At 50.6% G+C, this 22,295-nt stretch overlaps 1 protein-coding gene, 1 long non-coding RNA gene and 1 other non-coding gene across 14 annotated transcripts in view, besides 1 other annotated feature; 2 read left to right on the top strand and 1 right to left on the bottom strand.

Moving 5' to 3' along the window:
• Positions 1-874, bottom strand: part of PTPRN2 (protein tyrosine phosphatase receptor type N2) — a 1,048,768-nt gene extending 1,047,894 nt beyond the window's left edge. For all 12 annotated transcript variants that reach the window (XM_047420678.1, NM_130842.4, XM_047420679.1 and 9 more), the window contains exon 1: positions 609-874. In XM_047420678.1, coding sequence (XP_047276634.1) covers positions 609-720 — 112 coding nt within the window. In that variant the 5' untranslated portion in view covers positions 721-874. The remainder of the gene's footprint in view (positions 1-608) is intronic.
• Positions 3,680-4,984, top strand: LINC01022 (long intergenic non-protein coding RNA 1022). Its single transcript, NR_132379.1, has 2 exons — positions 3,680-3,858; positions 3,957-4,984. It is a non-coding gene; the product is annotated as a long intergenic non-protein coding RNA 1022 (long non-coding RNA).
• Positions 4,667-4,747, top strand: MIR5707 (microRNA 5707). Its single transcript, NR_049893.1, has one exon. It is a non-coding gene; the product is annotated as a microRNA 5707 (primary transcript).
• Positions 9,976-10,475: an enhancer, noted in NCBI's record as "H3K4me1 hESC enhancer chr7:158389617-158390116 (GRCh37/hg19 assembly coordinates)". NCBI's record gives its function as "activates a minimal SCP1, AML or CMV promoter by ChIP-STARR-seq in naive H9 embryonic stem cells {active_cell/tissue: H9 hESC(naive)}" and the evidence as "EXISTENCE:reporter gene assay evidence [ECO:0000049][PMID:30033119]".

Here is a 22,295-nt window from a genome sequence, read left to right on the forward strand (position 1 = left end):
CGGCGCCGGGGAGGAAACTGAGGCAGGGGCGCGAGACCTGCTCCGAGCCCCCAGTGAGGACAGAGAGGCGCGCGACCCGTGGCCGGGGGCTTGAGACCCAGAGCCTGGGGGTGTCGCGCTGGAACCCCGAGACCCCCGGAGCCCCCGACCCGCTCGCCAAGGCGCGCTCCCCACTCACTCACTGAGGCACCCCTCCCCACCCGCCCCGTCACTCACCGAGACGCCCCTCCCCTAAACCCCCCACTCATTCATTGAGGCGCCCCTTCCCCCACGCCCCGCATTCATTGAGGCGCCCCTCCCCCCACGCCCCCCTCTCATTCATTGAGGCGTCCCTCCCCCAGAACCTCTCAGAGGCGCCCCTCCCCCAACGCCCCCACTCATTTATTGAGGCGCCTTCCCTGCATGCCCCCTCACTCAGAGGCGCCCCTCCCCGCAACCCCCTCACTGAGGCGCCGCCCCTCCCCCCCGAACCCCTCACAGAGGCGCCTCTCCCCCCGACCCCTCAGGGTGGCGCCTCTCCCCACCCAGACCCCCTCACGGAGGCGCCCCTCTCACAACGCCCCCAACTAATTCATTGAGGCGCCCCTCCCCCGGCGCCCCCCACTCACCCAGACGCCCCGGGAGCTGCCGGCCGCGGGGGACGGACGAAGGGGCGGCAGGCAGGACGCGTGGCGGCAGCAGCAGCAGTAGCAGCAGCAGCAGCGGGAGCGGCGGCCCCATCCCCGCGGCCTGGCCGGCGGCGCTCAGTCCATGGCCGCGCGGGAGGCGGCGGGAGGCGGCCGAGTCCGGGCCCAGGGAGGCGCGCGCCGCCGGCTCCTCCCGCCGCGCCTCTCGCGCTCTTGCGGCGACGCCGGGCCGAGCTTCAGCACCGGACAGCGCCCGGCCCCGCCCCGGCCCCGCCCCCGGCGGCAGGGCCCCGCCCCCGGACGCGCGTCCGCCCTCAGGCCACGCCCCCGGCCAGCCCCGCTCGCCCCGGCCACGCCCCCCGCCCGCCCGGCTCCCTTCCCTCCCCACTCGCAGGCGCCGCGGCCCGGAGCCCCACGCCCGGCCCTGGACTCCCCGGCCCCGGCTCGCGCCCCTCCCCGCTCGGAACGCCCCGTCCGCCCCCCGCCCCGCGCGTCCCCTCCCACCTGCATTCCTGCCCCCCGCCTGGCCCTCCGATCCCCTCCCCGCCTGCCGCCGCTCCCCGCCCGGCCCGGTGCTGGGGGTCGCACTGTCCCTGGGGACGGCGGGGGCCTAAGCCGCGCCCTTGGCCCGGACGGGAAGGCCCGAACCTACTCTGCTGGGGACCTGGGCAGGCGGCCTCTACCCGCGGGGCCCCGCGCGCGTCGAATTAACGCCTTCCAACCGTTTCTTTAATTTAAACGTAACGGGCCACTTGCGCATCGGGGCGCGCGGAGGTGGACCCAGTCGACCTCCCCTGCAGCGCGGGCGGCGCCCAGGCTCGGTCCCAGGAAAGCTCCCGGAGGGCCCAGGGCGTGGGCTGGGGCCAGGCGGGCTCTGGGGCAGAGCAGGGTGAGGCCTGTTGCGGGCCTGGTCTCCTCGCCGCCGTCCCGCCCGGGGTCCTGGGGGATGTCGCGTGTCCTCCTCAGGAGACAGTGCCACTTCCAAGAGGTCCTAAGACAAAGGGGGCCAGTAGGGGCCTCCGGGTGGGAGGGAGCCTGCGCTTCTCCACAGCCCACCTCCCTCACACGCTACCCCAGGACCACCCCCTGCCGGGTCCCTGTCCTGGCGACCCCACCTGGGCCCCCAACCTCCGCACCTGCTTCTGCCTTGGACAGAGAGGCCTGAGCCCTCCCGCGTGCCTTCCTGCCACGTTCTCATTCCAAGGACATCTGCTCGGCGCCCTGTGGGTTTTCTCCTCCATGCCTGGCCACCAGGGCCATGCCTTCCGCGCCCCTTACCAGCCTGGGCAAGGCTGGCACCTGTGGACAGTGAATGGGGGCTGGGATGGCAGCGGGGAGGTTCCATCGTAGCCCAAACATCTGCAATTCAGAGTTGGATATTGGGGCTGACTGTCTTAAGTGCCCTCCTCACGGACACCTCTGTCCTCAGACCTCCGTCATCTCCTTGCTGGGGCCCCTCACCCTCCCATCCTTCAAGAAAGCTCCTCTTTGTTTGTCGCAGCCACCTGTGCCCGGAGGGGGTGGTGGGTGGCAGCTTATCCTTCACACCCAGACGCCCAGGGGACCACCTCCCCGTAGAAAGCACCTTCTTGCAGAATGCGGCAGCATAGAGGTCACGGTAGCTCCCGGGCAGCCCTTCCCTCCTACAAAGTCAGGCCCGTGTGTAAACCTGCGGATCCTACAAAAACAGCCGCTGGTTGGGAGAAGGATGGCAGCAAGGACTGGATAGATGGGGCTGCTTCTGACTCATTATTTGTAGTAGACTAGACTCTAATTTTTAACACAGCAGCGCTTGCCTCAAAACAAATGCAACCCCCCCCCCCAGCAATATCCATCCAGGAAAAAGGCTGTAAGCCCACAGCGAGGCGCACCCCAAATGTGGGCTTGGTGGTGATACTGTTTGGACATTTGTCCTGCCCTAATCTCCTGTTGAATTGTAATCCCCAGTGTTGGAGTTGGAGGTGGGGTCTGGTGGGAGGCAATGGCAGCATGGCGGAGGATCTCTCCTGAACGGCTTGAGCCACCCCTTGGTGATGAGTGAGCTCCGCGACTCCCTGTTCTGATCATTTAAAGCCATGTGATACCTCTCCCTAACTCTCTGCCTCTCCCTAACTCTCTCCCTCTCCCTAACTCCCTCAACTCTCTCCCTCTCCCTCTCTCCCTTTCCCTAACTCTCCTCCTCTCCCTCTCTCCCTAACTCTCTCCCTTTCCCTAACTCTCTCCCTAACTCTCCCTCTCTCCCTAACTCTCTCCCTAACTCTCCCTCTCTCTCCCTAACTCTCTCCCTCTCCCTCTCTCCCTAACTCTCTCCCTCCCTAACTCTAACTCTCTCCCTCTCCCTCTCTCCCTCTCCCTAACTCTCTCCCTCTCTCCCTAACTCTCTGCCTCTCCCCGACTCTCTCCCTCTCTTCCTCTCTGCCTCTCCCTCTCTCCCTCTCTCCCTCTCCCTAACTCTCTCCCTCTCCCTCCCTCCCTCTCTCTCCTTCTCTCTCCCTCCATCTCCCTCTCTGTCCCTCTGTCCCTCTCCCTCTCTCTCCCTGTCTCTCCCATCCTATGTGACATGCCTGCTCCCCTTTGCCTTCTGCCATGATCAGAAGCTCCCTGAGGCCTCCCCAGAAGCAGATGCCACCATGCTTCCAGTACAGCCTGCAGAACTGTGAGCCAATTAAGCCACTTTTCTTACAAATTACCCAGCCTTGGGTATTACTCTACAGCCATGCGAGAATGGCCTAACACAGGTGGTAAGAGAAGTCCGTGTGGGGGTGTCGGGAGGCTGGGAACAGCGGCACCCCTGGATGGTTCGATGGGCCGGTGCGTCCTGGGAGGTCCTGAGCCATCTGACTATGGAGTCAGTGATGGAAACCACGGGGGAAAGGAAAGGTCAGAGTGAGCCCGCAGAAGGGAGAGCCTCTTCATGACAGGTCCGTGAGGTGATTCGGACGCACAAGGGTAGGACACGGGATTCTCTTCAGTGAAAACTACTTTGTGAGGCCTTAACGCCATTTCTCTGGTACAGATGGGGGTCTGAGGAACCAAGTGCTCCGCCTGAACAAGGACGACCTGGAGAGGTCTGTTGCCTGAATGAGAGTCACTGAGTTTACACTGCAGGAGAGCAGCTCCCAAGACCAAGGCCCTGCGATTCCCAGAGGCCGTCGGACTGCCGCATCCCTTGGCGTGAACGGTGGGCGTGGAGAAGGACCCAGAGTCTGGAGCCTACATCCTGGAGGACTGTGTATCTTGGGAGGGGCCTGGGCTTGTTTGTACTTTCGTTGTTTGACTTGCTGCTTGCTTAATGGTAGTTTCCTGAACAAGGTCCTGTTTTACCCCAAGGGCCCTGAACTTTGGTTAAACACAAACAAGCCCCAAGAAAAGGGAAAGCGAAAACCAGAGGCACTGGAGGAATCACAACAAAAAGCACCTTGAGAAGCACCTACAAGACAGCAGCGCAGCGTGGCCAGCTCCCTGCCTCAAGCACCAGGCAGGCTAACCCAGGTTCCGAGAGGGGGCAGGTCAACACTGGATAAAATAAACTCCAGGAGGCCGGGCACAGTGGCTTACGCCTGTAATCCCAGCACTTTGGGAGGCCGAGGCGGGTGGATCACTCAAGGTCAGGAGTTCAAGACCAGCCTGGCCAACATGGTGAAACCCCATGTCTACTAAAATACAAAAATTAGCCAGGTGTGGTGGTGGGCACCTGTAATCCCAGCTACTCGGGAGACTGAGGCAGGAGAATCACCTGAACCCAGGAGGCAGAGGTTGCAGTGAGCCAAGATCGTACCATTGCACTCTAGCCTAGGTGACAGAGCAAGACTCCATCTCAAAAAAAAAAAAAAAAAAAAGGAAACTCAAGGAAAGGAAATGCAAAGGGTGGAGAGAGGAAGAAAAATGTTGTTTACCAAACCAAGGCTGGTTCCAGAACTCCAGCTGATATAGCCCAGACTTCTAATCCAAAAGGAAGACCGTTCTGGCCAGACAGGTGGTCACCATTAGATTCTTACTGCTTGACCCAACAGGTGCAGAGGCGTGTCTGTGTCTGTCTGTGTAAGAACACGTTTGAATGCTGTACAAGGCACATATGTGAACATTGTACCACATGTACAGCTTTCAAACATGCTCTTATATTCTCCCAGCCCTTTAGGGGGAATGTCTCCTACATACATTTATGCTTTGTGCCTTCCTACTTATGAAATTAACCCATCATTGTCACACTTGCTGATATGCACGCTGTATGCCCATAGCATGCCAGGGTCTGTATACAGTGCAACCTTGTAGTTTCAATGCAGTGATAACATATCCCTCACATTTGTAATCATGGGTTATTCTTTGATTACAAGGATTAATTCCAAGATTCCAAGATTTTCAAGGTCGAAAGGCCTGTGTCAAACAGTTCCTGAGTCACGCATGTTCCTTCAAGGGCATCCTATCTGCCAGACGTGTCCGGTCGAATGGGACAACAGTGATGTGTACCAGGGGAATACACAGAAGGTCAGGGCTCAAATTCCAGTCCTACGGTGCACCAGCTCCATGATCATGAACGCGGCTCCAGCAACGTGATCGTGAACATTGCACCAGCTCTGTGATCATGAACGCTGCACCAGCTCCGTGATCGTGAACGTGAACGTTGCCCACTGGTGACAAAGGTGAAACTGTTGGCCAATCCAATGGTTTTGTGTCAGTCAGTGCTCTGGGTTACATCAGAGCTGACCAGTCCTTAACGAGGACCAGAAAGTGTTTCAAATGGGGTGGCTGGGCCTCTGATTCTAAGAAACAATCTTGAGAGGGCTGGCATGAGAACCCTGGGGTGCAGTGGGGCGCAGCAGGCTTTGTTTGAATCCCAAAGGCCCACATCACGTGGACAGGACTGACCGGCTCCTGCGTGGCATTCTCCTCTTCAGGTTGAAGGCTGGGGCTCTGATCTTCCCATTTAACATTCTCTGTGGGAGATGCTGAGTCTCCGCTTGATCAGGAATGGCTTCATGAGAGGGATGGACTTCAGGTGAGGTTTTAGGGCAAGTGCAGATGCAACTTCCACACACTCCATGCTCAAGAACAAAGGTGCCTGAACATGTACTAATGAATACACTCAAAGTTACTCATGCTAGACAAACATTTTGGCTCTTGCTAAATGACATAGTGGTTCTGGCCAACCATGATGAAATTTGAATGACTTATTAGAACAGTCAAAACTGCCAGATTGGCCACTTTTAATTGGCCATTTTTCACCATTTAAACACAACCCAGGTCTAGTTGAATGGCAAATGCAGTGAGTCACCTAATCCCAGTCTGTGTGATGGAAAGTGGATGTCAGCCCATGGAGACGGTAGCTCAGTCTTCTGCTTATGATGTTGACTGAGCCCAATCTACAGGGCAAGAGCAAGTCATTCCTGCCCCTGCCGCTTCAGAGAAGAGTGCCCCACAAAGCTTCCCTCTGCTTAGCGGAGAGGAGTCAGGAAGGTCCATCACTCCTTGGTGTCTTGTCCTGTTGTGGACACCTCTTCCCTGCGGGAAACGTCCTGCCTCAAAAGGGTGACACTTCTGTTCAGTACCAAGTGTCACTGACTCCAGGGTGCAATTGCAGGGTGGGGAATCGGAAGCTGCACCCCCCCAAATGGAACAGCCCAAGGGGTTCACCTTGCCCACTGCCAAATTACCAAGACAGCATAATTGCAGTAGAGAAAGAGTAATTTACGCAGAGCTTGTGTGCGGAAGACTGGAGTTTTATTATTCAAATCAGTCTCCCTGAAAACTTGAGGATCAGAGTTTTTAAGGATAATTTGGTGAGTAGAGGCTCGGGAAGTGGGGAGTGTTGATTGGTCGGGTTGGAGATGGAATCAGAGGGGGTTGAAGTGGGGTTTTCTTGCTGTCTTCTGTTCCTGGGTGGGATCGCAGAACTGGTTGAGACAAATACCAGTCTGGGAGGTGTCAGCTGGTACATCAGAATTCAGGGTCTGCAATATCTCAAGCACTGATCCCAGATTTTACAACAGTGATGTTATTCCCAGGAGCAACGTGGGGAGGTTTAGAATCTTGCAGCCTCCAGCTGCATGACTCCTAAATCATAATTCTAATCTTGTGGCTAATTTGTTAGTCCCCAGGCAGGAAGGGGGTTTGTTTTGGGAAAGGACTGTTATCATCTCTGTTTCAAAGCTAAACCATAAACTAAGTTCCTCCTAGAGTTAGTCTGGCCTACGGCCAGGAATGAACAAGGACAGCTTGGAGGTTAGAAACAAGATGGAGTCAGTTAGGTCAAATCTCTTTCGCTGTAATAATTGTCTCAGTTATAATCTTTGCAAAGGTGGTTTTAAAAATATTGCTCCTAGACCCCAAATGTCTGAAGAATTGGCCTTAGCATGTTACTGTATTATCAATATTTTGCCAGTCAGCAGACAACAAAAAGGGGAGTGGAAGTCTGGACCGTCCATCTTGGGTGGTGTTAGTGTTGGTGTCGGTAGTGGTGGTGGTGGAAGTGGAGGTGATGGTAGGAGTGATTGTTACAGTGGTGTTGATGTTGAAGGTGTCAGTGTTGGTGGTGGGATGGTGGTGATCATGGTGGCAGTGATGGGGTGGCAACAATGGTGGTTGGGGTGACGGTGGTAATCATGGTGACTATGTAGGGTATTGGTGGTGGTAGTAAAAGTGATGCTGGAGGTCGTGGTGGTGGTATTGATATTGGCAGTGTTAGTTGTGGTTATTATGGTGCTGCTGAAGGTGGTGATAGAGATGGTAATAGTGGTGATGGTGATTGTGATGGTGGTGGTATTGACATTGGCAGTATTGCTGGTGGTGATGATGGTAGAGATGATGGTGATTTCCATGGTGGGTGTGTTGATGAAGGTGGTGACTGTTGTGGTGGTGGTACTGATATTGATATTGTGTTGGTGGTGGTGGTATTGATATTGACAGTAATCCTGATGGTGGTACTGATGGTGATGGGAAAGGTGGTGGTGATTTTGACAGTGGATGTGTTGTTGAAGAAAGTGGTGATTGATACGGTGATGGTAGTGGTTACTGTGGTGGTGCTGGAGGGTGGTTGTAGAGATGATGTTAAAGATGGTGATGGCAATGGTGGTGAAGCTGGTGGTGATACAGATGGTCATGGTGGTAGTGGTGGAGCTGGTGGTGATGGAAGTGGTCGTGGTGGTTGATATGGTTTGGATCTGTGTCCCCACCCAAATCTTATGTGGAATTGAAATCCCCAGTGTTGGAAGTGGGGCCTGGTGGGAGGTAATTGAATCATGGGGGCAGATTTCCCCCTTTGGTGCTGTTCTCATGATAGAGTTCTCACAAGATCTGGTTGTTTAAAAGTGTGTAGCACCTCCTGCTTCTCTCTCTCTTCCTCCTGCTCTGGCCATGTAAGATGTGCCTGCTTCCCCTTCACCTTCCACCGTAATTGTAAATTTCCTGAGGCCTCTCCAGCCATGTTTCCTGTACAGCCTACAGAACCATCAGCCAATTAAACCTCTTTTCTTTATAAATTACTCAGTCTCAGGGGTTTATGGCAGTGCGAGAATGGACTAATACAGTGGTGGTGGTGGAGGTGGAAGTGGAGGTGTTAGTGGTGATGAAGCTAGTGGTGGTAGAGATGGTGATAATGGTGGTCATGGTGGTGGAGGTGGAGCTGGTGATGATGGAGGTGGAGGTGTTAGTGGTGGTGACGCTGGTGGTGGTGGAGGTGGTGGTAGAGGTGGTGATGGTGGTTATGGTGATGGTGGCGAAGTTGTAACAGAGGTGGAGCTGGTGGTGATGGAAGTGTCAGTGGTGGTGATGCTTCTGTCTGCACATCCCCTTTCCCATTTAGGCAAACAGCACTGCCATTTTTATCTGTGGGACTTCTGCCCTTGAACCCTTTTCCCTCAGGACAGGCCACCTGGTAAAGGCTCATGGCATATGCAGGCCAGCAAATGCTCTCTCCCTAGGATGTGAGTCATGCATGGAGTGACACAGGAGGAGATGACCAGAGCTGCCTCAGGCCTGCAGCAGCACCCGGGCCTACCTGTATTAGTTCGTTCTCACACTGCTATAAAGAAATACCCGAGACTGGGTAATCTACAAAGAAAAGAGGTTTAATTGACCAGCAGTTCCTCAGGCTATACAGGAAGCAAGGTGGCCTGTGCTTCTGGGGAGGCCTCGGGAAACTTATAATCATGGTGGGAGATGAAGGGGGAGCAGGCACGTCTTACGTGGCTGGAGCAGGAGGAAAAGAGAGACGGGGAGGTGCCACACACTTTAAAACAACCAGATCTCACAAGAACTCACTGCTGCCAAGACCACACCAAGGGGGATGGTGTTAAACCATGATAAACCACCTGCACGATCCAGTCACTTCCCACCAGGTCCCACCTCCAACAGTGGGGATTGTAATTCAACATGAGATTTGAGTGGGGACACAGATACAAACCGCGTCACTGCCAATGAGTGCCGAGGCCTGAGTCCCATGCTCAGGTCTGCATCTGCATCTTTTCCTGACTCTGGGGGCTCCCTACCTTCCAATAAAGTCTTTTGTGGGCCCAGCTGCCAGACCCTTTCAGTCACCTGCATTGAGAGACTTGGTGACCTATGTAAGTCGGCAGGCCTCAGTCTTACTGTTATTAATAAACAGTCCAGCCATTGGTCATAAGAAAAATATCTAATTCCATAAAGCACTGACTAGGTGCCAGTGATTATGACAATAGTTAGGCGCCATTCTCATTCACATTCCACACATGAGGAGACCAAGGCTGAGGTCTAAATCATCTTCCCAAGACCCCCACAGCCAGTAAGTGCTGGGTTCAGGGTTCAAATCCACTCGGTCTCACTCCAGAGTTCAAGGTCCCATTCTTGCCATCCCAATTCACCGAATTCTCCATTTGTGGATTCTATTAGCCTGAAGCCAGCACTTCTGAGGCCTCCTAACCCTAGCTGGGAGGGCAGCCAGCCCACTCAGCGGGGAGGTGACTGGCTATTATTCAGGGTGTGGGTGCAGAGGTGTCTGGCATCTGAGGCATTTTGTTGCTTCTTTTACTAAGGCAGAGGGAGGGAGAAGCAACCTGTGATAATCTCACCTCACCAGCATTGCAACTTAGCAAAAGTCATACTCTCCCGGCACACTGGTTAATGAATCTGCTGGAAGACATCTTATTCTATGGGACTTTCTCAGAATGTTCTAGACAGTACTCACAGGTCTCCTGGCAAAGCAATAGAAAAACCAAGCCAGAGTCTTGGGAGTTGCCCCCACTCCTGGCCATTCACACCAACATCTGTGCCTCCCCAGGAGGCTGGCCACTGCCCAGTTCACTCCATGCCTGCTATACCCACAAGCCACTAAGCCTGAGGAGGAGAACATCTGGCCTGCCTGGAAGCAGGCTCTTCCCCAGACCAGGGGCAAACACCGTGGAGCTTCCCGTCAGCTCTCCAGCCAGCTCTGCTCTCAGCGGGTTGGAGGCAACAACCTGTGGCCGGAACATGGCCTGATGTGCCAGCCTCCCAAGTAGCTGGCACTACAGGCATGTGCTACCACACCCAGCTAATTTTTGTATTTTTTTTGTAGAGATGGGGTTTCACCATGCTGCCCAGGCTGGTAACTTCTGAGCTCTAGCAATCTGCCTGTCTTGGCCTCCCAAAGTGCTGGGATTATAGAAACGCGCCACCACACTGGCCTATTATTTATATTTGATATAGCATTTAACAGAAATTTGTTATGTGATAATTTTTCACCTTTTGCTAAGTTGAAATGTTTTATTTTATTTTTTTGAGATGGAGTCTTGCTCCGTCACCCAGGCTGGAGTGCGGTGGCACAATCTCGGCTCACTGCAAGCTCCGCCTCCCGGGTTCACTCCATTCTCCTGCCTCAGTCTCCCAAGTAGCTGGGACTACAGGCGCCCGCCACCAAGCCCTGCTAATTTTTTCGTATTTTTAGTAGAGACGGGGTTTCACCATGTTAGCCAGGATGGTCTCTACCTCCTGACCTCATGATCCGCCCGCCTCGGCCTCCCAAAGTGCTAGGATTACAGGCATGAGCTACCGCGCCCAGCCAAAATGTTTTATTTTTTAAAACAGTCTGTTAGAGACACAAACTAAGGTATTTGTGGGTCAAATTAGGTAAAGTCTGGGATTTGCTATAAAATAATATTCTAGCAACAAAAACAACAAAAGGTGAAGATCAATGAGATTGGTTGTACTATTTTCTCTAATTTTAAAAATATATTTAAACATAAGCCAGGCACAGTGGCTCACGCTTGTAATCCCAGCACTTTGGGAGGCCGAGGTGGGTGGACCGTGTGAGTCCATGAGTTTGAACCAGCCTGGGCAACGTGGCAAAACCCTGACCAAAAAATACAAAAATTAGCCGGGTGTGGTGACACGCACCTATAGTCCCAGCCACCTGGGAGGCTAAGGCAGGAGGATCACTTGAGTCCAGGAAGCCAAGGCTGCAGTGGGCTGAGATCACACCACTGCACTGGATGACAGAGCAAGACCCTGTCTCAAAAAAAACACTAATTTTTCTGAATACAAGATCAACATAGATTTTTAACTTTTCTAGGCTGGGCGCAGTGGCTCATGCCTGTAATCCTAGCACTTTGTGAGACCAAGGTGGGAGGATCACTTGAGTCCAGGAGTTCGAGACCAGCTTGGGCAACATGATGAAAACCCATCTCTATAAGAAGTATAGGCCAGGTGCAGTGGCTCACGCCTGTAATCCCAACACTTTGGGAGCCTGAGGCGGGTGGATTACATAAGGTCAGGAGTTCAAGACCAGCCTGACCAATATGGTGAAACCCCCGTCTCTACTAAAAAAAATACAAAAATTAGCCAGGCATGGTGGTGTGCGCCTGCAGTCCCAGCTACTTGGGAGGCTGAGACAGGAGAATCACTTGAACCCATGAGGCAGAGGTTGCAGTGAGCTGAGATCACGCCACTGCACTCTGGCCTGGGGTGACAGAGCAAGACTTCGTCTCAAAAAAACCAAAAAAGTATAAAAATTAGGCCGGGCTCAATGGCTCACACCTGTAATCCTAGCACTTTGGGAGGCCGTGGCAGGTGGATCACCTGAGGTCAGGAGTTTGAGACCAGCCTGACCAACCTGGTGAAACCCTGTTTCTACAAAAAATACAAAAATTAGCCAGGTGTGGTGGCGCACACCTGTAATCTCAGCTACCCAGGAGGCTGAGGCAGGAGAATCACTGGAATCCAGGAGGCGGAGGCTGCAGTGAGCTGAGATCACACCATTGCCCTCCAGTCTCAGCGACAGAGACTCCGTCTCAAAAAAAAAAAAAAAAAGCACAAAAATTAGTCGGGCATGGTGGCGCAAGCCTGTATTACCAGCTACCTGGGAGGCTGAAGCAAGGGGATTGCTTGAGCCAGGGAGGTCGAGGCTGCAGTGAGCTGTGATCACACCATTGCACCCCAGCCTGGGCAACAGAGTGAGACCCTATCTAAAAAAAAAAAAAAAAATTAACTTTTCTATTCCCTAGCAATAACTAGTTAGATAACACAAGAGTAAAAAAAAATTCCATTAACAATGGCAAAAAAAATTGATTGTTACATGCTTAGTAATAAACATTATAAAGAATACGAAGACATTTATGAGAAAAAAGAAAACTTCCATGAAGCACATCTTTTTTTTTTTTTTTTGAGACGGAGTCTCACTCTGTCACCCAGGCTGGAGTGCAGTGGCGCGATCTCGGCTCACTGCAAGCTCCGCCTCCTGGGTTCACTTCATTCTCCTGCCTCAGCCTCCCGAGTAGCTGGGACTACAGGCGCCCACCACCATGCCCGGCTACTTTTTTGTATTTTTAGTAGAGATGAGGTTTCACCGTGTTAGCCAGGATGGTCTCGATCTCCTGACCTCGTGATCCGCCCACCTCGGCCTCCCAAAGTGCTGGGGTTACAGGTGTGAGCTACCGCGCCCAGCCGAAGCACATCTTTTTTAAAAAACTAATTAAAGAGATGCCATGCTCATGGCTGGGAAGTTAATGTAAAAACCATCCTCCTCCCCCTCATTAGTTATAACTTTAATGTAATCTCAATCAAAATTGCATGGGATTTTCTAGAACTTGGTAAACTAAAATTCATATGGGGGAGAAGGCAATCATCCTAAAAGTTTTAAAAGCTTACAAGATATTTAAAGATCACCCTAAGACTCAGATAAGATGAAATATCCAGGGAGGGAAGTCAATGTTAGGGCCACTTTTGTCCAAGGTGGTGTTTCCTGGCCTCGACGGTGACCCTGAGAGACTGCGTATGGGGAACGAAGGAGTTGGAGTGTGGAGCTCTCGTGGGCAGGGGTGGAACAGTCCCTGCAAAGCTGCCCCATGTGAACTTCAGCCTGGCTTCAAGCCATCCCAATGCTCCCAGAACCCCAAACCCTGAAATTACAGTCAGGCGATTGCAACATTAAAACATGTTTATCTTCTTTAGACAAAATACTCTAAACTGAGATTCTTTAGTTAATAGGTGTGAACATTTTTATGACAATGGATATGTATCAATATGTATTTCAGTGTCATCATGTACTAATGTAAACCAGTTTAATGCTGCCCTAAAACAATGTATACCAATTACACCATCATTTTCCAGAAGTGGGGATTATACTTTTAAAAAACTGCTTTAGTAATTGAAAATAGTAACTGCAGCCTCAGACTCCTGGGCTCAAGAGATCCTTCTGCCCCTGCCCCGCAAGTAGCTGGGACTACAGGTGCACACCATGCCTGGCTTCTCATTTCTGTGCTAATTACATTTGTCAGTTGGCCTGTGAGTGTCCTGACAGTACTGGCTCCAGCAGCAGCTTCTGTTCCTGGCTTCTCAGGTAAGTTCTGATTCTCTGCATTCACCTGTCTCTCCAGTTTTCAGGATAGCAGTTTGCCCCATGACCTCATTTCTCTGATGGATCTGAGAAGAGTTGTTGATTTTCCATTTGCTGAGCTTTTTTCTTGTTGTGGGGACAGCAGTGATAACTTCCAAGCTCTTTACCTGTCAAATCATTATCTTTTGATATTTGAATGGTTTTAGTTTTACATGTGGATTTGTATTCCATCTGGAATATTTCTTTTATGCATTATATAAGGTAGAGAACTAACTTTTCTTAGTGAAAATCTGTCATTCCCCATTTATTTGGGATGACTTCATTATACACAAATAACCCACGTAAGTGTGTGTGCTCTGTGCTTCTCGTTCTCTTCCGTTGGCCTATTTGCCTATTCCTAACCACTTCCATACTGTAGCTTTTTAATACACCCTTCAATGCTGGGTAGCGCAAACCCCCTCTGATTCTTCCCGGCGATTCTCTCGTGTTGCCTCTCCTCTGTATTGGAACACATTCCCTCCCTCCTGTCAGATGTTAATTACTTGTGTTCTTTTTCTTTTCTCTGCCAGACTTTCTAGAAGTTTTCTAGTTGTTTTACTCATTTATTTAATCATATCTTTGGGAGTTTTTTAAATTCATAAATGTATCCTCACATATTTACTCATTTGTTCCCTTTTTAGTTTTCTATTTCTTGCTTCTTGAATTAAATGCTCAATTCTTCTTTATTATACAAATAATACTACTGCATTCCCATTTGGAAAATGTTCAGTCTGTACAGAAACACACAGAGGAAAATGTGAGAGTTCCTTTACTTGCACCCCCACTTCCCAGTCCTCTCCCAGAAGTAAGAACCATCAGCAGTTTTACCCAAACACGTTGCTTATGCTCAAATGTCATTTTTAAAATAAATGACATCATACTCTTTGTACTGTTTTGACTTGCTTTTTAAAAAATTTTACTTTGCATATGACTTAGAGATATTTTTGTTATCAGTATAGATATGTTTGCCTCATTTCAGGTAAAGGTTACATAATATTCCCTAGTACAGACAGGCTGTGTTTAAATGATATACTCCATTATTGAAGGATATTTAGCTAGCTTTCCAACAGAAACTCTTCAGATACCTGAAAAACAGTATCTACAAGAAACAACCTTAGCCAGCATGCGGACACATGGACACTTCAGTTGCTGAAACACCGGAATGCTTCCCGATCCATCGGTTGGTAGCAGGCCCCCAATATTCATATTTGACGACAATATGGTCCTCAACTTGGTACACACATCCCATAAAAGTTCAAATACAAAACACACATGCAAAAAGTGGTGGCTTTCGTGCACCCCAGGAATCACTAATGAAAATGCAGTATGAAAAACCACAAAGTGAGAATTGGAGCTGATTATCTCTACTCTACCCCTCTGTGCAGACACTGTTCTGAAAGGTTTACTCAAGCATTAATTCACTTACTATTCGCAGCAACCCAAGGAGGATGTTCCATTATTATCTCCACTTCACAAACCGGCCCATAGTCACATCTCTACTGAGTGGGAGAGCCAGCAAGGTTGCCCAGACAGCCTGGCTCCTGCAGATCTGTCTTCTGCATTGAAAACATCATATTTACAGCAGCTACCATATTCTGAGGCATGTTCCTAATGCCAAATGTGTAAGACGGAGGAAATCACATTCACTTAAAGGCATTATTTACTGGTGTTTGACTAACCTCTCCCAAATCCACCCTTGGATGACACCCACAAAGCCCTAGGCCAGGAGTCTGCCAGGACTCAGGCGGCAGGTCTCTCTTAGCCCACGAGGTCTGGGCCTCACTGGGATGGCAGTGGGAAACCTGGCATTCAGGGTAATGTGTCATGGGCACCCAGAAGACGCTCCCACTATAAAACTTTGGGAAATAAAGCAGTGAGGAGATAGCCATCCCCAACAGGTACCCCAGTGCTCACTCCCCATGGGCAGCAGGTGCTGCGAACACTGAAGAAACAGTGCCTGATTCAACAAGGACAGAAAGACCCCGGAGCGCAGAGACCAGGCATCATCGCTAACCACTAAAGCAAAGAGGGCACTGCCAGCTGACAACCAAGAGGAACTATGGGAGTCTCCACCTGGAGCACAGAGACCAGGCATCACCGCTAACCACTAAAGCAACGAGGGCACTGCCAGCTGACAACCAAGAGGAACTATGGGAGTCTCCACCCGGAGCACAGAGACCAGGCATCACCGCTAACCACTGAAGCAACGAGGGCACTGCCAGCTGACAACTAAGAGGACCCACAGGAGTCTCCAGGGGTTACTCACCAGCCCCAGGGCCGAGAACCTAAACAGCCAGGCAGTCTACCACATGCTTACCTGGTCAATATAACCAGAGCAACTCCAGGCCTAGCAAGTGAGGTCTCACTTAGGCCTAACAATGAAGTTACAGCTTCTCACCCATTTCCTAAGGAATCACCCAACACACAGAGCCTGGGGCTTCAGGAAGGATACAGATCATTTCACCAGCACGCGCTCTTTTAACTCCCTTCCCTTTCCCAAAGGGTCTGTGGCCATTTGCCAGAGAGCCTGGGCCTGGGAAGGCTGGCGTGAAGGGTGTCAGGAAATCTAGGACAAAGACCAGACTAATTCTAGCCCCTGCGAGGCAGGACACCGCAATGTCCTCCAGTCACAGTGGGCCTCCAAGCCTATGCTACATTATTTCTCAGGCACCCAGGTGTGTGGTTGGAATATTAACCCTCAATACTGTGCAGAACTACCTCTCAGTTCCCCAATAGGAAGAACACCTATTCAGGCATGAAGAGCAAAGTGACGTCTTAGAGCTCTCCCTCCTTACTTAAATATTAAATCAAAAGCAAGACCATGGATAAGCAATCTGTGGTATATTTTAAAAATGGAATATTGCTCTATAATGAAAAGAAACAAATTACTAATGCGTGCAACAAATGGGTGAATCTTAACAGTAGTGTGCTGGGTGAGGGAAGCAGACACGAGTGCCTACTGTGCGCTTCCCTCACGAAGCCCGAGAACAGACAGAGCCACCTCATGGAGACAGAAACCTGAATACTGTGCGTCGCGTGGGAAAGGGCAGGCGAGTGCTTCCTGGCGTGGCAGAAACGTTCCCCAGCTTGACTGGAGCACAGGTCATGTGGTTGAACACACTGTTCAAACTCATCAAACTGTGCTTAATATCAGTGTATTTTGTAGTGTAAATTTCTATTCAAGTGACGTCAATTTTTCTGGTATTTCAGAAATTTGCACACCACAATGACTGAACGCTGCCAGTGGGGATTCCCGTCACCGGCCTGGCCCCAGTGTATCTTCAAGAATGACTCGTCTGGCACAGCGGGAGCAGGTGGTGGATACGAGGGCCACTTTCCTCCAGTCTGGGATTCTTACTGGACAAATTAACACAGTACAATCCCTGGTTTGAGGCTTGTACCTAAGAATCTAACAAATTGCTTTTTCTATCCCAATTAAGAGAAAGCACTAGAAACTATTCCTTTTCTCAGCAGAGTCATGGTGCAGACTGCAGCTTTGTCTCAGGCTATGACACTCCGGCTTACTGTCAGGACTCAAACCAAACAGGACGCCTGGTCAGGCTGCCCTCTCCTCAACTTCCTCTCTCAGCATCGAAATCGCAGCGCGCCTCTCCCACCCTCAGGGGCCCACTGCCCAATGACACCTGCCCAGCCTCCTCCTGGTGGCTAAGGGGCACCGCCTCAGCACCCCCAGGTCTGCCCCTCTTTGGGCAGGTCTCTGCCTCCTCCTCTGCCCCACACCCACCTGCTCCATCCCCGCCCCACCCCAGTTCCCGTGTGGCAGATGCTGTCCTGCAGCTCAGAGCCCAGCTCACCCTGAAAATCTCCAAGGCCCAGCCAGGGGTCTGGCCCAGGCTTGCAGCCCACCCAGAGGAGCCCAGGGGACCTCTCGCCTCTGCCTGAGCCATGCAGGCTTCATCTTCCGTGGATGAAGAGCTCAGCCTGGCCAGAGCCTCCCCATGCTCCGCACTAAGACGTGCTTCTGAGACACCATCCGGCAGGACAGGCTTTCAGTTGCCAAGGGCCCCACAGGCTGTCCCTGCTTCTGGAACTCTCTTCCCCTGGCCGGCCCCTCGTCCTTCAGCAGGAGGAAAACACTCTTTCACACAAGCCCTCCTTATCTACCAGCCTGGGCTGCACCCGCAAAGGGTCTGTGTTTCGGGTTCCAGTGTGTGGCGGCGTGTGGTGGTGTGTGGCGGCATGTGGTGATGTGTGGCAGCATGTCACAGTGCTCCAAGCTGTGAGTCGGGTGCCTTCCCTGGTGCTGCTCTCTCAGAAAGCTCTTCCTGCATTTCCTGCAGTCCAGGAAGTTCTCATCGGGACTGGCAGGGAGTTTGGAATTTTGAGTTTTTAAGAATCAGTTAGACACTTATGCAGCCAAAAGACATATGAAAAAATGCTCATCATCACTGGCCATCAGAGAAATGCAAATCAAAACCACAATGAGATACCATCTCACACCAGTTAGAATGGCAATCATTAAAAAGTCAGGAAACAACAGGTGCTGGAGAGGATGTGGAGAAATAGGAACACTTTTATACTGTTGGTGGGACTGTAAACTAGTTCAACCATTGTGGAAGTCAGTGTGGCGATTCCTCAGGGATCTAGAACTAGAAATACCATTTGACCCAGCCATCCCATTACTGGGTATATACCCAAAGGATTATAAATCATGCTGCTATAAAGACACATGCACACATATGTTTACTGTGGCACTATTCACAATAGCAAAGACTTGGAACCAACCCAAATGTCCAACAATGATAGACTAGATTAAGAAAATGTGGCACATATACACCATGGAATACTATGCAGCCATAAAAAACGATGAGTTCATGTCCTTTGTAGGGACATGGATGAAATTGGAAATCATCATTCTCAGTAAACTATCGCAAGGACGAAAAACCAAACACCGCATGTTCTCACTCATAGACGGGAACTGAACAATGAGAACACATGGACACAGGAAGGGGAACATCACACTCTAGGGACTGTTGTGGGGTGTGGGGAGGGGGGAGGGAATAGCATTAGGAGATATACCTAATGCTAAATGATGAGTTAATGGGTGCAACACACCAGCATGGCACATGTATACATATGTAACTAATCTGCACATTGTGCACATGTACCCTAAAACTTAAAGTATAATAATAATTTTTAAAAAAAAAAAAGAATGTCAGGGAGATGGAAGTCACAGTATTTTGTAAGTTGATCTTAGAAGTGACTTCTGGCTGGTCACAGTGGCTCACGCCTGTAATCCTTGCACTTTGGGAGGCTGAGGTGGAAGAATCACTTGAAGCCAGGAGTTCAAGACCAGGCTGGGCAATACAGCAAGACCGTTATCTCTACAAAAGATAAGAAAATTAGCCAAGCATGGTAGCACATGCCTGTAGTACTAGCTACTCTGGGGACTGAGGTGAGAGGACAGCTTGAGCCCAGGAGTTTGAGGTTACAGTGAGCTATGATGGTGCCACTGCACCCCAGCCTGGGTGACAGAGCAAAGCCCTGTCTCTAATAAATAAACAAATAATTTTAAAAAGAAAAAAAAAAAGAATCAGTTACCAACATATAAAATTCAGAGGATTTCAAACAAAACTTAAGGCTTCTGTCTTCTCTTGGAACATAAGCCCATCATCTGGAGCCCACACTGTCTGCCCCTCAGAGGGCAGGGGACCCCCACTCACCCTACCTGGCCAGCTGTACCCCAAGTACCAGCTGGGACCCAGGTTCCTCCTAGTGCAGAAATAATGGGGAGCTGATTAAACCGTTCAGCAGAAGCTCCAGCCACTCAGTGTTTTCTCAGAATCACTGCACTTGTAAAAGGAGACCTAGGAGAGACAGCCATGCTTAGATTGGAGCAATACGTTGCTAACAAAGAATTTCAGGCATTGGCAAGAGAGCAATTGTGGGACAGGGAGTCTTTCTGAGCCTTTGAAAATGCTGCCTCCTCCTCCTTTAAGGCCAGAATGTGCTATAAACCCAGATAATTAGTGAGGCAACATTGCATAGCGCTCTCTCCAGCCTGAAGCCTCCTAGCACTCTGAACCTTTTCCTGGCTGGAGTTTCCAGACACAGAATAAAGGCCATCACTGTGTTGCCATCTTTCACCCATGACGTTTGTGTAGACATCTCAACGATCCCAGGAGGTGCCTGTTAATGGCCTCTGCAGCCTGCAAACACAAGGCTTCCTCTAGGCTTTCCTGAAGAAAATATCACATTTAATTTTAAAATCATGATTTTCAAAACAATGACCTTCCTCCAAAGACAGGAACCACACACCTGGCTGGTTTGGGCCAGGTGGCGGCTCTGAGCTCAGCCAGGTGGCCTGTGGGCCGGCATTGACTTTGTGGACTGTTGTGGGATCCCGCTGGTGAGAAAGGTGCTGAGCACCTAAGTGCCATGGACAGGTTTCTCATTAGTCCTGAGCAGCGAATGCAAGCCAGCCCCAGGCAGTGAGACCAAAGACTCTGTCTCTGCTGCAGAACGTCCCTTTTGTGAGGCAGGGCTGGCCTCAGAGGCAGCATTGTGTAGTCAGAGGCTTCTCTCCTATGAACCCCCATGAAGAGCCCCCTTGGGTTCCCAGGCCCCAGGTGGGTTGGCATCCATGAAGTTCTGAGAGTCAGCAATCAAGGTTCTGGTCCACAGAGCACGTCAGGAAGGTAAGGTGATGGAGGATGGAGCAGGAAAGGGGAGAGGCAGCAGAGACGTAGAAGGAGACTGACTGAGGACACGTGGGCCCAAGACACCCAGTGCTGGCTTCCCACTCAGAAGCCAGGTGGGAGGAAAGTGGACCAGGGCAGCCCGCTAGCGCCAGTGGCCTCCAGCTCCACCCGGAGATGAACGCCAAGCTGAAGTACTGCTGATCAGCCCAGGCCAGCGGGAGGAAAGTGCCAGTGGCTTCGTCCCTCCTAGATGGTGCGGCAGGCACGAGATGCCCAGCCTTGATGCACCTGCCCCAGACGCTCAACACTTTCAGCAAACCTCCCACTGCTCATGGGGAAAGTGCTGGCTCACAGAGGCGTAGGATCTTCCAGATGCCGACCCTCACCCTCCACCCTTCCACCTGCAGATGAGTTCCTGGGATGGGAAGAATCATCCATGGTCTTCCAAAAGTGGTTCGCGGACCCCTGGGTGTCTCCACAACACCTTCAGGGGTTCGCAAAGTAGAAACTGCCTTCACAATTATTGTAATGCATTGTCTGCTCTTTACTGGGTTGCATTTGTGGCAATGGAGGGACCTAGCAGGGTGGGAGCTGGGAGCAACAGCAACCGCACCTACGGGCATCCTGTTCCCCATGGCCCTTGCCACAGAAAACACAAGGTCAGTTTGGCTTAAGCATATCTTTGATGAGGAAATAAAATTATCAACTTACTAAAGCTTGACCCTGAGTGCACGTCTTTTTGGTTATCAAGGAAGGACGTACGAAATTCCTCTGCTGTAACTGAAGGAAGGAATTTGTCCCAAGAAGATTCCTACCATAATCTGGATGATGTGCGTTGTGGCTGAACCCACCACTTTTCATGGGCTGCCATGTTCCCTGTAAGGGTGCTGGAAGGTGATCTGCAGCTATTCATAGGTGGCATTTGGCACTTAAAAAAAATCAGGTCTGGGCACAGTGGCTCACACCTGTAATCCCACTACTTTGGGAAGCCAAAGTGGGCAGATCACTTGAGCCCAGGAGTTCAAGACCAGCCTGGGCAACATGGCAAAAACCCATCTCTAAAAAAAATACAAACATTAGCCAGGTGTGGTGGCACGTGCCTGTAGTCCCAGCTACTCTGGAGGTTGAGGCGGGAGGATCGCTTGAGCCCAGGAGGTCCAGGCCGCAGTAAGCAGCCGTGATCGCACCACTGCACTCCAGCCTGTGCGACACAGCAAGACTCTGTCTCAAAACAAACAAACAAAAAACAACTCCTTCAGTTCAAGAACAAGTGACAGTATCTGTTGCTAATGATAACACTGAGCTTTCCAGCAAAAATTGGAATTTTGGAAAACATGTATTGATGATGTGAGCTTGATAGATTTCCAAAACTTAAAGACTTTTCTGAGATCAGTGGTGATATTAACAAATGTAATTTTAAAAAATTTTATAACAAAATGTGTCAACATTTGGGAGAGCTGCATAACTCAGGCAACCAATACTTCCCCAATGAACAGTTACAGAACCACAAACAGTAAAATATCTATGTGAAGTGCAGGTCCACCGACAGATCTTAGGGGCACAGACGGTGGCAATTTTATTGATGGTTTCACATTCCACACTGAACTAACTTTAAGGAATCCCCAGTGCCAACACATAATGTAGCATCAAAGAAGAATATCCACAATTATCTAAAAGGCTAATAAATACTTCTGCACTCTCCAAATATACATCTGTGTGAGGCGGGATTTTCTTCATAAACTTCAACCAAAACAATAAATCACAATAGAGTGAATGTAGAAACAGATGTGAGAATTAAGCTGAAATTTGAAAATATGTAAGACAATACCACCCTGCTCACTAGCTACTTTTGTTTGGGAAAATACAGTTTTGAAAAATAACACATATTCATAAAGAATGTTAGCAAGGGCTGGGGATGGTGGCTCACATCTATAGTTCCGGATACTCAGGAGGGTGAGGCACCAGGCACTCCAGGCTAAGCCACACAACAAGACCCTGTCCATAAACAAAAAATAATATTAGCAGGTAATAGATTTATTGTTTTTTAATAAATGTTTTAAATATCTCAGCTTTAATTTCTAATACATTAAATATTGATTGATGCAAACCACAGAAACAAACTCTTTGGGGTTTTCAATGCTTCTAGACTACAAAGGGGTGTGCAATGGTTACTTTTTTGTGAATATG

The sequence above is a fragment of the Homo sapiens genome, chromosome 7 (assembly GCF_000001405.40).
Source record: "Homo sapiens chromosome 7, GRCh38.p14 Primary Assembly".
NCBI lineage: Eukaryota > Metazoa > Chordata > Mammalia > Primates > Hominidae > Homo > Homo sapiens.